General features: G+C 45.4%; 1 protein-coding gene across 3 annotated transcripts in view, besides 5 other annotated features; it reads right to left on the minus strand.

The window, feature by feature from the left end:
- METTL16 (methyltransferase 16, RNA N6-adenosine) overlaps positions 1-15,173 on the minus strand; it is a 96,174-nt gene that overhangs the window by 78,569 nt on the left and 2,432 nt on the right. For 2 of the 3 annotated variants that reach the window (XR_007065448.1, NM_024086.4), the window contains exon 2: positions 7,921-8,048. The exons of the other annotated variant lie outside the window; for it this stretch is intronic. Coding sequence is in view for 1 of the 2 variants with exons in the window: in NM_024086.4 (NP_076991.3) it covers positions 7,921-8,048 (128 nt within the window). In the remaining variant the exon portion in view is untranslated. The remainder of the gene's footprint in view (positions 1-7,920; positions 8,049-15,173) is intronic. 3 annotated transcript variants of the gene reach the window in all.
- Positions 1,141-1,641: an enhancer, noted in NCBI's record as "H3K4me1 hESC enhancer chr17:2398718-2399218 (GRCh37/hg19 assembly coordinates)". NCBI's record gives its function as "activates a minimal SCP1, AML or CMV promoter by ChIP-STARR-seq in primed H9 embryonic stem cells {active_cell/tissue: H9 hESC(primed)}" and the evidence as "EXISTENCE:reporter gene assay evidence [ECO:0000049][PMID:30033119]".
- Positions 6,340-6,841: an enhancer, noted in NCBI's record as "H3K27ac hESC enhancer chr17:2403917-2404418 (GRCh37/hg19 assembly coordinates)". NCBI's record gives its function as "activates a minimal SCP1, AML or CMV promoter by ChIP-STARR-seq in primed H9 embryonic stem cells {active_cell/tissue: H9 hESC(primed)}" and the evidence as "EXISTENCE:reporter gene assay evidence [ECO:0000049][PMID:30033119]".
- Positions 6,842-7,341: an enhancer, noted in NCBI's record as "H3K27ac hESC enhancer chr17:2404419-2404918 (GRCh37/hg19 assembly coordinates)". NCBI's record gives its function as "activates a minimal SCP1, AML or CMV promoter by ChIP-STARR-seq in primed H9 embryonic stem cells {active_cell/tissue: H9 hESC(primed)}" and the evidence as "EXISTENCE:reporter gene assay evidence [ECO:0000049][PMID:30033119]".
- Positions 11,661-12,572: an enhancer, noted in NCBI's record as "H3K27ac-H3K4me1 hESC enhancer chr17:2409238-2410149 (GRCh37/hg19 assembly coordinates)". NCBI's record gives its function as "activates a minimal SCP1, AML or CMV promoter by ChIP-STARR-seq in primed H9 embryonic stem cells {active_cell/tissue: H9 hESC(primed)}" and the evidence as "EXISTENCE:reporter gene assay evidence [ECO:0000049][PMID:30033119]".
- Positions 12,573-13,483: an enhancer, noted in NCBI's record as "H3K27ac-H3K4me1 hESC enhancer chr17:2410150-2411060 (GRCh37/hg19 assembly coordinates)". NCBI's record gives its function as "activates a minimal SCP1, AML or CMV promoter by ChIP-STARR-seq in primed H9 embryonic stem cells {active_cell/tissue: H9 hESC(primed)}" and the evidence as "EXISTENCE:reporter gene assay evidence [ECO:0000049][PMID:30033119]".

Raw genomic sequence — 15,173 nt, forward strand, 5'->3', positions numbered from 1 at the left:
AGTGCTGGGATTACAGGCGTGAGCCACTGTGCCCAGTCAAGATTTACTAATTTTTGTGGGTACATGGTAGGTATATATATTTAGGGGGTATATGGGATATACATTGTATTTTTAGCAAATCAAATGTTTGTGGCAATCTTACATCTAGCAAGTGTATTGGTGCCATTTTTCTAATAGCACGTGCCCACTTTATGTCTCTATGCCACATGTCAGTAACTCTCACAATATTTCAAACTTTGTTGTGGTGATTTATGATCAGTGGTCTTTGTTTTTTGTTTTTTTGTGTGTGTATGTTTGTTTTTGTTTTAGTGACTCAGGAGACTGAGGTAGGAGGATTGCTTGAGCCCAGGAATTTGAGGCTACAATGAGCTATAATCCTACCACTGCACTCCAGCCTGGGCAACAGGAACCCTCTCTCTAAAAAAGAAAAACAAGGCCGGGCGTGGTTGCTCACGCCTGTAATCCTAGCACTTTGGGAGGCTGAGGCAGGCGAATCATGAGGTCAGGAGATCGAGACCATCCTGGCCAACATGGTGAAACCCCATCTCTACTAAAATACAAAAAAACAGCCAGGCATGGTGGCGTGCACCTGTAGTCCCAGATACTCGAGAGGCTGAGGCAGAGGAATCGTTTGAACCCGGGAGCCGGAGGTTGCACATCTTATTATTTAAGAAACATTTTAAGGCCATAGATAGTGATTCCTCAGACAGATCTAGGCAAAGTAAATTGAAAACCTTCTGGAAAAGATTCAGCATTCTAGATGCCATTAAAAACATTCAGGATTGGCCAGGCATGGTGGCTCATGCCTGTAATCCCAATACTTTCAGAGGTCGAGAGAGGCAAATCACTTGAGCCCAGGAGTTCAAGACCAGATGGGGTGAAACAACAACGACAAAAAATTAGCTGGGTGTGGCAGCACACACCCAGTCCCAGCTACTTGGGAGGCTGAGGTAAGAGGATCACCTGAGCCCGGGGAGGTTGAGGCTACTGTGAGCCACAATTATACCACTGCACTCTAGCCTGGGCAACAGAGTGAGACCCTGTCTCAAAAACACAAAAAATAAAAGAACATTTGGGATTGATGAGAGGAGGTCATTATCAACATTAATCGAATATGAAAAAGATGATTTCGGCTGGGTGCGGTGGCTCACGCCTGTAATCCCAGCACTTTGAGAGGCCAAGGTGGGCGGATCACGAGGTCAGGAGTTCGAGACCAGCCTGGCTAACATGGTGAAACACTGTCTCTACTAAAAATACAAAAATTAGCCAGGTGTGGTTGTGCGCACCTGTAATCCCAGCTAGCCAGGAGGCTGAGGCAGAAGAATCCCTTGAACCCAGGAGGTGGAGGCTGCAGTGAGCTGAGATCCGGCCACTGCACCCCAGCCTGGGTGACAGAGAAAGACTCTGTCTCAAAAAAAAAAAAAAAAAGAAAAAGATTATTTCAACCCTCATAGGTGAGTCTGACGGGCTCAAGACTTCAGCATGGGAAGTAACTGCAGATGTGCTGAAAATAGCAAGAGAACTAGAATTAAAAGTGAAGACCGGCCGGGCGCGGTGGCTCACGCCTGTAATCCCAGCACTTTGGGAGGCCGAGGCAGGCGGGTCACTTGAGGTCAGCAGTTTGAGATCAGCCTGGCCAACATGGCAAAACCTTGTCTCTACTAAAAAATACAAAAATTATTTGGGCGTGGCAGTGCACACCTGTAATCCCAGCTACTCAGGAGGCTGAGGCAGGAGAATTGCTTGTACCTGGGAGCTGGAGGTTGCAGTGACCTGAGACCACACCACTGCACTCCAGCAGCCAGGGTGACAGAGCGACTCTGTCTCAAAACACACATGCACACACACACACACAAAACAAAACAAAAAAAAAGAAAAAACATCCTACACAAATAGTATTTTTATCTAATTGTGTTCAAGGCATTCATGGATCCTCTCAAAGTCCCTAAGTTCACTCTTCTCTGTATATTTCTGTCTACTTAGTTAGAAATATTTAAAAAAAAGTTCCAAATTACGTCAAACAGTGTTTTTTAGAGATGGGTCTCACCTTGTCGCTCAGGCTGGAGTGCAGTGGTGTAATCATAAGTTCACTGCAGCCTTGAACTCCTGGGATCAAATGATCCCCCCACCTCAGCCTCCCAAGTAGCTGGGATTACAGACGTGCACCACTATACCCTGTCAAACATGTTTTTAAAAATTTCTATACTTTTCAAAATGCTAAGTCTTCATCTTCACTGAAAGTTATTTATCCACATAATTTTCCATTTTGATGCTTTTTGCCTTCTTTTCTACTTTATTTGATTTAGGGGGAACTCTCATTTACCTACTTATTTTTGCGCATCCCTTTACTTTCATTTCTCTGTAATTCCGTTTTAGGTATGTGCTATGATCTGAATGTGTCCCCCAGAATTCCTTTGTTGGAAACCTAATCCCCAATGCCAACAGTGTTAGGAGGTGGGACCTAGTGGGAGAGGTTTAGGTCACGAGGGCTTTGCCCTTATGAATGGATTAATGCTGCTGTTTAAAAAAAAGCTTGCAGAAGTGGGTTTGCCCCCTTCCACCTTCCACCCTGTGAGGATGCAGCAAAAGGGCCCTTAACCAGATGCCAGGGCCTTGCTCTTGGACTTCCCAGCCCCCAGACTATGAGAAATAAATTTCTGTTCTTCATAAATTACCAGTCTCATGCCACTTATGTATGGCATATCGTTTTGTTGTTGTTGTTTTTCTTTTTTATTTTCTTGAGGCAGACTCTTGCTCTGTTGCCCAGGTTGCACTGCAGTGGCACAATCTCGGCTCACTGCAACCTCCACCTCCTGGGTTCAAGCGATTCTCCTGCCTCAGCCTCCCGAGTAGCTGGGATCACAAGTGCGCACCATCACGCCTGGCTTATTTTTGTATTTTTAGTAGAGACGGGGTTTCACCATGTTGGCCAGACTGGTCTCGAACTCCTGACCTCAGGTGATCCGCCCACCTTGGCCTCCCAAAGTGCTGGGTTTACAGGCGTGCGCCACTGCACCCGGCCTTTTTTTTTTTTTTTTTTTTTTTTTGAGATAGGATCTCACTCTGTCGCCCAGGCTGGAGTGTAGTGGCACAATCTCAGCTCACTGCAACCTCTACCTCTCAAGCTCAAGCGATTCTCGTGCCTCAGCCTTCTGAGTAGCTGAGATTACAGGCATATGCCACCACGCCCGGCTCATTTTTGTACTTTTAGCAGAGAAGGGGTCTCTCCATGTTGCCCAGGATGATCTCAAACTTCTGAGCTCAAGCCATTCGCTGGCCTCTCAAAGTGCTGGGAATATAGGCATGAGCCACTATGCCCGGCCTGGCATATCATTTAATAGAGAAATTATTCTCATGCAGTCAACAAATATTAACTCAATGTTTGTGACTTGCCAGGTACCTTTAGATATGTTGTAAAAACACATCTGTTAGGTCTGCTTCAGACTGACAGGTTTTTTTTGGAAACAAGGTCTTGCTCTGTTGCCTAGGCTGGAGTGCAGTGGCGCGATCATGGTTCACTGCAGCCTTGACCCCCTGGGCTCAAGCAGTCCTCCTGCCTCAGCCTCTGAAAGTGCTGTGACTGCAGGTATGAGGCACTGCGCTTGGCCTTTTAAAAAATATACCTCTTAGGCCCGGCGCGGTGGCTCACGCCTGTAATCCCAGCACTTTGGGAGGCTGAGGTGGGCAGATCACGAGGTCAGGAGATCGAGACCATCGTGGCTAACACGGTGAAACCCCATCTCTACTAAAAATACAAAAAATTAGCAGGGCGTGGTGGCGGGCACCTGTAGTCCCAGCTACTCAGGAGGCTGAGGCAGGAGAATGGCGTGAACCCGGGAGGCAGAGCTTGCAGTGAGCCGAGATCGCGCCACTGCACTCCAGCCTGGGCGACAGAGTAAGACTCCATCTCAAAAAAAAAAGAGATCGAGACCATCCTGCCCATCATAGTGAAACCCCGTCTCTACTAAAAATACAAAAATTAGTTGGGCATGGTGGCATGTGCCTGTAGTCCCAGCTACTCAGGAGGTTGAGGCAGGAGAATCTCTTGAACCCGGGAGGCAGAGCTTGCGGTGAGCCGAGACAGCGCCACTGCACTCCAGCCTGGTGACAGAGCAAGACTCTGTCTCCAAACAATGCAAAACAAAACAAAAATCTTAAAAATCCTAACCATCAGCTGGGCGCGGTGGCTCACGCCTGTAATCCCAGTACTTTGGGAGGTTGAGGTGGGCAGATCACTTGAAGTCAGGAGTTCTGAGACCAGCCTGGCCAACATGTTGAAACTCCGTCTTTACTAAAAATACAAAAATTAGATGGCCGTGGTGGTGCGAGCCTGTAATCCCAGCTACTCAGGAGGCTGAGACAGGAGAATCGTTTGAACCCAGGAGGCGGAGGTTGCAGTGAACCAAGATGACATTACTGCACTCCAGCCTGGGCAACAGAGCAAGACTGTGTCTCAGAAAATAATATAAAACTTTAGTGGATGAGGATGGGGATGGGCAAGGCACAAGAATCCTCCATACCACGCCCTTAAGAAAAATTTCAAACTCCTCAGTGGGCCTTATAAAGCACCACAAAGTATAACCATCCCCAGCCCACCTCCTCCTGTCTCTTGTCCACTGCACCCCAGCCACGCTTCACTTCTTCAGTTCCCCTCTGCCCAGTATTCTTTGCACATGCTGCTGCCTCTGCCTGGAATACTCTTCTTTCTACCTGGCTCACTCCACTCATTCCTTAAAACACAACCAAGAGACCATTTCGGTTTCAAATCATTCTCTAAATCCCAAAGTCAGGGTACGGTCTCCTTTTCATGTGATCCCACTGCACATCCCCCGGATTCTCCCATACTAAAAGGTTAACGGCTTATGTATTTGTCCATTTTCCCCACTAGTGTATAAACTAGCGTGTGACTGTGGCAGTGACATCTTTCTTGTTTTTTAAGGCTTTCCTAGAACTGAGCACAATGTGGCTAATCAATAGGTTTTTGTTAAATAGCTGATTAAGTACAATAGTAAGTATAGAGAGGAAACAAACAATGACAAAACTATATCTTTTTTTTTTTTTTTTTTTTAATTACAGGATTTCGCTATGTTGCCCAGGCTGGATTCAGACTCCTGGACTCAAGATCCTCTCACCTCAGCCTCTCATGTAGCTGGGACTACAGATGCACAGTGTTGCACCCCACTAAAATGGTATCTTTCCTAAAGCTACTAGGATCAACATCCACGTATATCACTATGAAACAATGACTTACAAACAATGAGAGAGATGTTATAAACAGAGAAATCCCAATTCAATCTCTTTAGGGTAAGTGACTCCAAAGTAAGGTGCCAAAGGTGATTATGGTATCCAAAGAAAATACCTGAAGTCCTATTTAAATATATTTTTAATTTCTATTTTGAAATATGTTTTCAAATGTACTTAATATATTAACACAGTAAGTAGTACAAGCATTCACATATAGGCTGTGCTCAATTTATTCTATTTTTTTGAGATAGAGTCTCATTCTGTTGCCCAGGCTGAAGTGCAGTGGCATGATCTCGGTTCACTAAAACCTCCGCCTCCCCAGTTCAAGCAATTCTCCCTCCTCAGTCTCCTGAGTAGCTGTGACTATAGTGTGCATCACCACACCCAGCTAATTTTTTGTATTTTTAATAGAGACAGGGTTTTGCTTTGTTGGCCAGGCTGGTCTTGAACTCCTAACTTCAGGTGATCTGCCCACCTCGGCCTCCCAAAGTGATCTTAACCCTTATACTTGGGTGTGGGTGGAGAGTTTCACAGATCCCTTTGAGAATGTGATGACAGCTAAGGATTATCTGTCAGAAAAATGAACATAAATATTTGTTTGAACTCCTGTATGATTTTAAGGGTTATCTTGGCTTCCAGGTTAAGTCTTGCCCCAGGGCCTCCATTTCTAAAGCTATAAGAAGAGGGCTTAGAGTAAAGAAGAGGTGAAGAAAATGCCTCAAGCCCTATGATCCTAATCTTCTTTTTTTCTTTTTTCTTTTTTTTTTGAGATGGAGTCTCAGTCTGTCACCCAGGTTGGAGTGCAGTGGCACAATCTCGGCTCACTGCAACCTCCACCTCTCAGGTTCAAGTGATTCTCCTGCCTCACTCAGCCTCCGGAGTAGCTGGGATTACAGGCTTGCGCCACCACACCCAGCTCATTTTTGTATTTTTAGTAGAGATGAGGTTTTCACCCTGTTGGTCAGGCTGGTCTCAAACTCCTGACCTCAAGTGATCCGCCCACCTTGGCCTCCCAAAGTGCTGGGATTCCAGGCGTGAGCCACCGCGCCCGGCCACTATTATTCTTTCCCTTCCTTTTTCTCCTCTAATCCTGCTCCTCTTCCTTCCCATAGCTGAATCACCACGCCTCTCTCCAGGCAGGCTGGGAATTTCCAATTCCCTCTGTAACTCGCAGAGTTGAGGAATGCAGTTAGAGATAGTTCTTTCTCAGAGGTATAAAAGACACATCAGTCATTCCCATATAGTTATCATAATTTTGCCATTTCCTGAAACACTTATACTATTATTTTCTTAATTTAAAAAAATCAAGGCCGGGCACATGGCTCACACCTGTAATCCCAGCACTTTGGGAAGCCAAGGCGGGCGGATCACCTGAGGCCAGGAGTTCAAGACCAGTCTGGCCAACATGGTGAAACTCTGTCCCTACTAAAAATACAAAAATTAGCCAGGCGTGGTGGTAGAGGCCTGTAGTCCCAGCTACTCAGGAGGCTGAGACAGGAGAATTGCTTGAACTCAGGAGGCAGAGGTTGCAGTGAGGCGAGACTGCACCACTGTACTCCACCCTGGGCAACAGAGACTCCGTCTCAAAAAAATAAAATAAAGTAAAAATAAAAAATCAACTTTCTGGCTTGGTGTGGTGGCTGTAATCTCAGAACCTTGGGAGGCAAAGGAGGGAGGACCACTTGAATCTAGGCGTTTGAGACCAGCCTGGGCAATATGACAAGACCTTGTCTCTACAAAAATAAAAATAAAAATAGCTAAGCATGGTAGGGCACACTTGGCTATTTTTATCTGGGGAGGCTGGGGCAGGAAGACAGCTTGAGCCCAGGAGTTCAATGCTATCACAAGCTATGACTGTGCCACTGCACTCCAGCTTGGGCAACAGAGCAAGATCCTATCTCTAAAAACAAAATAAATAAATAAAAATAAATCAACTTCTTAAATTTAGTAACATCTTAAATAATAATATCTGTGAAATCAGTCCTGATGTCCTGGTTATTATTTTCCTGCCTCACATCAAAATAAACACACACTTATTAAAATATCTTTAGGCCAGGCACAGTGGCTCACACCTGTAATCCCAGCACTTTGGGAGGCCAAGGTGGGCGGATCACGAGGTCAGGAGTTCCAGACCAGTCTGACCAACATGGTGAAACCCCGTCTCTACTAAAAATACAGACGTTGGCTGAGTGTGGTGGCGGGCGCCTGTAATCCCAGCTACTCAGGAGGCTGAGGCAGGAGAATCACTTGAACCTGGGAGGCAGAGGTTGCAGTGAGCCGAGATCATGCCACTGTACTCTAGCCTGGGCAACAGAGCGAGACTTTGTCTCAAAAAAAAAAAAAAAAGTGTTTAGATCCTCACCAGTCACTAAGTTTTAGATCACAAAGAGCACAATCGTAAATCTCTGAAGTTACTCTGGGATTTCCGTAGGGTAAGCAACAATTTGGACATCAAGAGAATTTTTTTTTAAGCCAGAAGGAAACTTAAAAGCATCTGGTCCATTCCTCTAATGTTATACATTAAAAAGCTGAGACCAAGAGAGGTTAAGTGATTTGTCCAAGGTCGCATGGGACGTTTAATCAAATGTCTAAGATTAACACTCAGGTGGGCTTTCTATTACATCATATCCATTTGAATCACACAAGAATAACAGTGATTTTTCATCCGTTACCTACCTCACTCTTCCATTCAGATTTATCTGAACATGCTGCTTAAAATCTGGATATTTGGATGCCAGATATGCAAAGTCAGGAGGTTTGTCCTTGTATCTATTTCTTGCATGCATTGATTTACTCAGAGCCATCTTAAGGAGAGAAAGAGAGAAAGAAAATCAGCATATTTATTAAAAACCATTAATGGGGGCCGGGTGCGGTGCCTCATGCCTCTAATCCCAGTACTTTGGGAGGCCAAGGTAAGTAGATCACCTGATTCAGGAGTTCAAGACCATCCCATCCTGGCCAACATGATGGGATGAAAGCCCGTCTCTACTAAAAATACAAAAAGTAGCCAAGTAGCCGAGCATGGTGGCGGGAGCCTGTAATCCCAGCTACTTGGGAGGCTGAGGCAGGAGAATTGCTTGAACCCAGGAGGTGGAGGGTGCAGTGAGCCGAGATCACGCCATTGCACTCCAGCCTGGGCAACAAGAGCGAAACTCCGTCTCAAAAAAAAAAAAATCAGTGGGGAAAGCTGTGGATGCCAAGTTAATAGTTACAGCCAACATGTCTTTGCCGATCAAGTGAGAAAGTAGAAATCACATTTTTAAAATGCATACAACAAATAAGCACATGAAGAGATGGTGAACATCATTAGTCATCAGGGAAATACAAATCAAAACCACGTGAGACACCACTTCATACCCACTAGGATGGCTGCTGTCAACAAAAAAACAAAAATAAAAAATTAAAAAAACAGAAACAACGAGTGTTCTGCAAGGATGTGAAGAAATTGGAGTTCTCATGCATTGCTGTTGGGAATGTGAAATGGCACAGCTGCTGTCGAAAAACGCTTGGCGGTTCTTTAAAAAGCTAAACATAGAATTACTATCTGATTCAGCAATTCCACTCCTAGGTATATTCCCAAAAGAACTGAAAGGAGGAACTGAAACAGATATTTGTACAGCAGTGTTCATAGTAGTATCATTCCCAAGAGTGAAAAGGTGGGAAACAATCTGAGTGTCCATCAGCAGATGAATGTGGACCAACAAAATACAGTATATCCATACACTAAATATGGATCAACAAAATACAGTATATCCATACCCTAAATATGGATCAACAAAATACAGTATATCCATACACTAAATATGAAAATACGGTATATCCATATAATAAATATGGGTCAACAAAATACGGTATATCCATACCCTAAATATGGATCAACAAAATACGGTATATCCATACACTAAATATGGGTCAACAAAATACAGTATATCCATACAATAAATATGGGTCAACAAAATACGGTATATCCATACACTAAATATGGGTCAACAAAATACAGTATATCCATAAAATAAATATGGGTCAATGAAATACAGTATATCCATACACTAAATATGGATCAACAAAATACAGTAATCCATACAATAAATATAGATTAACAAAACATGGTATATCCATACAATAAATATGGATCAACAAAAGATGGTATATCCATACAATAAATATGGATCAACAAAATATGGTATATCCATACAATAAATATGGATAAACAAAATACAGTATATCCATACAATAAATATGGATAAACAAAACATGGTATATCCATACAGTAAATATGGATCAACAAAATACGGTATATCCACACACTAAATATGGATCAACAAAATACGGTATATCCACACACTAAATATGGATCAACAAAATACGGTATATCCATACAATAAATATGGATCAACAAAATACGATATACCCATACAATACATATGATCAACAAAATATGGTATATCCATACAATAAATATGGATCAAGAAAATACGGTATATACATACAATAAATATTATGCAGCCCTAAGAAGAAATGAAATTCTGATACATGCTACAACATGGAAGAACCCTGAAAACACCATGCTAAGGGAAATAAACCACACACAAAAGGACAAATATTGTATGCTTTCACTTATATGAGGCACCCAGTAGAGGTAAATTTATTACACAGATGGAGAGTGGAATAGAGGTGATGAGGAGCTGGGGAGGGAAGAATGAGGAGTTACTGTTTAATAGGTACAGAGTTTCACTTTGGAATGATGACAAAGTTCTGGAGATAGAGGTGATGGTTGCACAAGAGAATGAACACATTTAATGTCACTGAATGGTACACTTAAAAATGGCTAAAATGGTAAATTTTATGTTATGTATATTTTTCCATGATTTTAAAAATGCAGACAACGTAAGAGTGAGTCTTTTTTTTTAAATCAAGGGAAGAAAGCTGAAAAGTATTCCTTTAAGAGCATCAAAGTGACAGAACACAGTCTGTATATATGATCTATAACCAAGGATATTAGTTAGAGGTTAGTTGTGTTTTGTTTTGTCTTGTTTTGTTTGTTCTGAGACAGTGTCTCACTCTGTCATCCAGGATGGAGTGCAGTAGCACAATCATACCTCACTGCAGCCTCAATCTCCCATGCTCAAACAGTCCTTCCACCTCAGCCTCCCGAGTAGCTGGGACTATAGGTATGTGCCACCATGCCACCACGCCTGGCTAATTTATTTTTAATTTTATTTTTTGTAGAGACAGGGTCTCCCTTTGTTGCCCAGATTGGTTTCCGACTCCTGAGCTCAAGTGATCCTCCTGCCTCAGCCTCCCAAAGTGCTACGACTACAGACATGAACCATCACACCCAGCTTGGGGGTTAGTTTTTACAGTATCCTTACAAGGACTGAATATTTGGTAGTGTACCATAACATCACCAAACTTTGAAAAAATATCTTTGATTCCAACTTAAAGTTTCAATCTTGTCATTCCTAGGTAGCTAAAACCAAATGAAAACGAACATAATTTTGTCTTCTTCCAGATTACAACAAGAAATAAAAGCAAATGTACTTATATCAAGACATAAACACTGAAAGAGAAACTATTATAATGGTTTAGTAAATCTCCAGGTAGTTGGTAATTTAAAAAATATTTTACTATTATATATATATATATCTCTCTCTGGGTGGCAAGTGACTTTTATTTTCTTAATATCTTTATTTTTTACCTTTTAAATAATGATTATTCTTCTAAACAATATTATGTTAGCCAAAAATCTAGGAGTCAGTTGATAGTTTCTCATATCCAAGAAATCACCACTTCTGTAGGTTTTACCTGCTAAATACCTCTTAAATCCACTCTTTTTCCCTGTCCCCAACAATGTCAAGCCCAGAGGCATTTTTTTTTTTTTTTTTTTTTTTTTTTTTTTTTTTTAGATACATGGTTTCGTTATGTTGGCCAGGTTGGTATTGAACTCCTGGCCTCAAGCAATCCTGCCACCTCAGCCTCCCAAAGTGCTAGGATTATAGTTGTAAGCCACCACGCCCGGCCAGAACAGCCTTTTTATTTACTTACTTTTATTTCCTTAGAGACTACATTGCCCAGGCCAGACTTGAACTCCTGAGCTTAAGCAATCCTCCCACCTCGGGCTCCCAAATGGCTGAGACTACAGGTGTGCACCACCGCACCTGGTTTACAGTAGCCTCTTAATTGGTCTCCCTGCATCCACTCTTGTTCTCACCATCCCTCCTTCCACCTCGTAGTGATCATTTCCAAACACAAATCTCAGTATGTCCTTCTCCTATGTCCACCTGCTCAAAACCTTACTCTTAGGATAAAATAAAAAAACATCACTTCAGCCTACATGCAAGGCACTACATGACCTGGCCTTGCCTATCTTTTCACCATCAGTTTAAGTCACATGCCCTTGCTCTTTGTGTCCTTCTACCCTGACCACAGGACCTTTATGCAGGCTATTCTTTTTTTTTTGAGACAGAGTCTCCCTCTGTCACCAGGCTGGAGTGCAGTGGCGCAATCTTGGCTCACTGCAACGTCTGCCTCCCGGGTTCAAGCGATTCTCCTGCCTCAGCCTCCTATGCAGGTTATTCTTTTTATCTGTAACGTTTTTTCCTCCCTCTCTTCAGTCGGCAAATTCTTAGTCATTCTTGGGCTCACAGTTCAAGCACCTCTTCTTCAGGAAGATCTTTCCTTCCCTAATCTCCCCAGTTAAGACAAATCCTCTCCCTCTCCCTCCCCCTCCCCCTCCCTCTCCCTCTCCCCACGGTCTCCCTCTCCCTCTCCCTCTCCCCCTCTTGCCACGGTCTCCCTCTGATGCCGAGCCGAAGCTGAACTGTGCTGCTGCCATCTCGGCTCACTGCAACCTCCCTGCCTGATTCTCCTGCCTCAGCCTGCCGAGTGCCTGCGATTGCAGGCGCACGCCGCCACGCCTGACTGGTTTTCGTATTTTTTTGGTGGAGACGGGGTTTCGCTGTGTTGGCCGGGCTGGTCTCCAGCTCCTAACCGCGAGTGATCCGCCAGCCTCGGCCTCCCAAGGTGCCGGGATGGCAGACGGAGTTGCGTTCACTCAGTGCTCAATGGTGCCCAGGCTGGAGTGCAGTGGCGTAATCGCGGCTCGCTACAACCTCCACCTCCCAGCTGCCTGCCTTGGCCCCGCAAAGTGCCGAGATTGCAGCCTCTGCCCAGCCGCCACCCCGTCTGGGAAGTGAGGAGCGTCTCTGCCTGGCCGCCCATCATCTGGGATGTGAGGAGCCTCTCTGCCTGGCTGCCCAGTCTGGAAAGTGAGGAGCGTCTCTGCCCGGCCGCCATCCCATCTAGGAAGTGAGGAGCGTCTCTGCCCGGCCGCCCATCATCTGAGATGTGGGGAGCGCCTCTGCCCTGCCGCCCCGTCTGGGATGTGAGGAGCATCTCTGCCCGGCCGCCCCGTCTGAGAAGTGAGGAGACCCTCTGCCTGGCAACCGCCCCGTCGGAGAAGTGAGGAGCCCCTCCGCCCGGCAGCCACCCCGTCTGGGAAGTGAGGATCGTCTCCACCCGGCAGCCACCCCGTCCGGGAGGGAGGTGGGGGTCAGCCCCCCGCCTGGCCAGCCGCCCCGTCCAGGAGGTGAGGGGCACCTCTGCCCGGCCGCCCCTACTGCGAAGTGAGGAGCCCCTCTGCCCGGCCAGCCGCCCCGTCCGGGAAGGAGGTGAGGGGGTCAGCCCCCCGCCCGGCCAGCCGCCCCGACCGGGAGGTGAGGGGCGCCTCTGCCCGGCCGCCTCTACTGGGAAGAGAGGAGCCCCTCTGCCCGGCCAGCCACCCCATCCAGGAGGGAGGTGGGGGGGTCAGCCCCCCACCCAGCCAGCCACCCCGTCCGGGAGGGAGGTGGGGGGGTCAGCCCCCAGCCCGGCCAGCCGCCCCATCCGGGAGGTGAGGGGTGCCTCTGCCCGGCCGCCCCTACTGGGAAGTGAGGAGCCCCTCTGCCCGGACAGCCGCCCTGTCCGGGAGGGAGGTGGGGGGGTCAGCCCCCCGCCCGGCCAGCCGCCCCATCCGGGAGGTGAGGGGCGCCTCTGCCCGGCCGCCCCTACTGGGAAGTGAGGAGCCCCTCTGCCCGGCCACCACCCCGTCTGGGTGGTGTACCCAACAGCTCATTGAGAATGGGCCATGATGACAATGGCGGTTTTGTGGAATAGAAAAGGGGGAAAGGTGGGGAAAAGATTGAGAAATCGGATGGTTGCCGTGGCTGTGTAGAAAGAGGTAGACATGGGAGACTTTTCATTTTGTTCTGTACTAAGAAAAATTCTTCTGCCTTGGGATCCTGTTGATCTGTGACCTTACCCCCAACCCTGTGCTCTCTGAAATATGTGCTGTGTCCACTCAGGGTTGAATGGATGAAGGGTGGTGCAAGATATGCTTTGTTAAACAGATGCTTGAAGGCAGCATGCTCCTTAAGAGTCATCACCACTCCCTAATCTCAAGTACCCAGGGACACAAACACTGCGGAAGGCCGCAGGGTTCTCTGCCTAGGAAAACCAGAGACCTTTGTTCACTTGTTTATCTGCTGACCTTCCCTCCACTATTGTCCTGTGACCCTGCCAAATCCCCCTCTGCGAGAAACACCCAAGAATGATCAATAAAAAAAAAAAAAAAGACAAATCCTCTATTATAACATCTCCTAGCAATAAATATTTTTCTTTTGCAATCTTTGTTAGAGACATAATTTTACATAGTCATAAATCTGTCAATGCTATTTCAGATGGTTTTTTGACAGCTTCCTACACTGGAAATTAAACCAATTTCAGAAAAGAACTGTTGTCTTCATTCCAGACTTTTCCAAATCACATATCCAACTGCCTACCATATTTCTCACTTGAAGGGCTCAAAAATACATGTACAATATGTGCAAAATTAAATCACTTCTACCCACCCCAAACTGGTCCTTCTCATCTTCCCTATCTCACCAAATGCACTGCTATCTTTCTTGTGATAAACACATCAAAAATCTTCAACACCTTCTCCATGCTGCCTCCCCCATTCACAACACACCAGGTCCTGAATACTCCATCTCCCAATTATTTCTTGACCTTATCCCACTTTTCACCCTTCACAACACCACCTCTCTGGCCCAGGTCATTATCATGTCTTTCTTGGGTTGCTCTAAGAGTCTCAAACTGATCTCTTCATAAACACTCTTGCCCTCTACCAGCCACTTTTCACTCAGCAGACAAGCCACTCCCCCCATGCAAATGTGAACATTTCCTTATTAAATCCCTTCAGTGGCATCCCAAAGCTATTAAGCTAAAAAAGTCTAAAATCATTAAAAAGGCAGGCATAATCCAGGCCTTATCTGTCCCTCCAACTTCATTTGTTGCCACTTTCCCCTTCCAGACATACTGGTCTTCTTCCATTTTCTCTGCTGCATGGTAGTCTGTCTCACCATCTCCTATTCTTACTGCCTGTAAGACTCTCCTCAACCTCCCACCATCGCCTTTCACCTCTGAAGGTCCACTAGCTACTCAAATCACACCCTAGGCATCATTTACTCAGGCAGCCTTTCTCTGACCCCACAATCCAATCAGATGCCCATCTACACGCTTTCAAAGCACCCTGTGCTGCTTCTCCCTCAGAGATCTTCAGTTTACTACTGGGTGTGTAATTAATTTGCATATGTCACACATAGACCTGCAACCATATCCATCCTAGTCTTTACTATACCCCCAGCAACCTGTATACAATAAATATTTTTTGAGTAAACAATTCAGAATTTGAGGGGATTAGTAGTCACCTGAAAGTTTTTCAGCATACTGTTACTACATTTTGCCCCTCACACTATGACTAAAAATGACTATATACCTGTCTTAATTTCCTAGCATTGACATACCCTTTACTGACCATCAGGAAAGAGGGGAGCATAAAACTAGGATGGCCCCCAGTTCTCAAGAAAACATCAACTGGGCAAGGTGGTGCA

The sequence above is a fragment of the Homo sapiens genome, chromosome 17, assembly GCF_000001405.40.
Source record: "Homo sapiens chromosome 17, GRCh38.p14 Primary Assembly".
Taxonomy (NCBI): domain Eukaryota; kingdom Metazoa; phylum Chordata; class Mammalia; order Primates; family Hominidae; genus Homo; species Homo sapiens.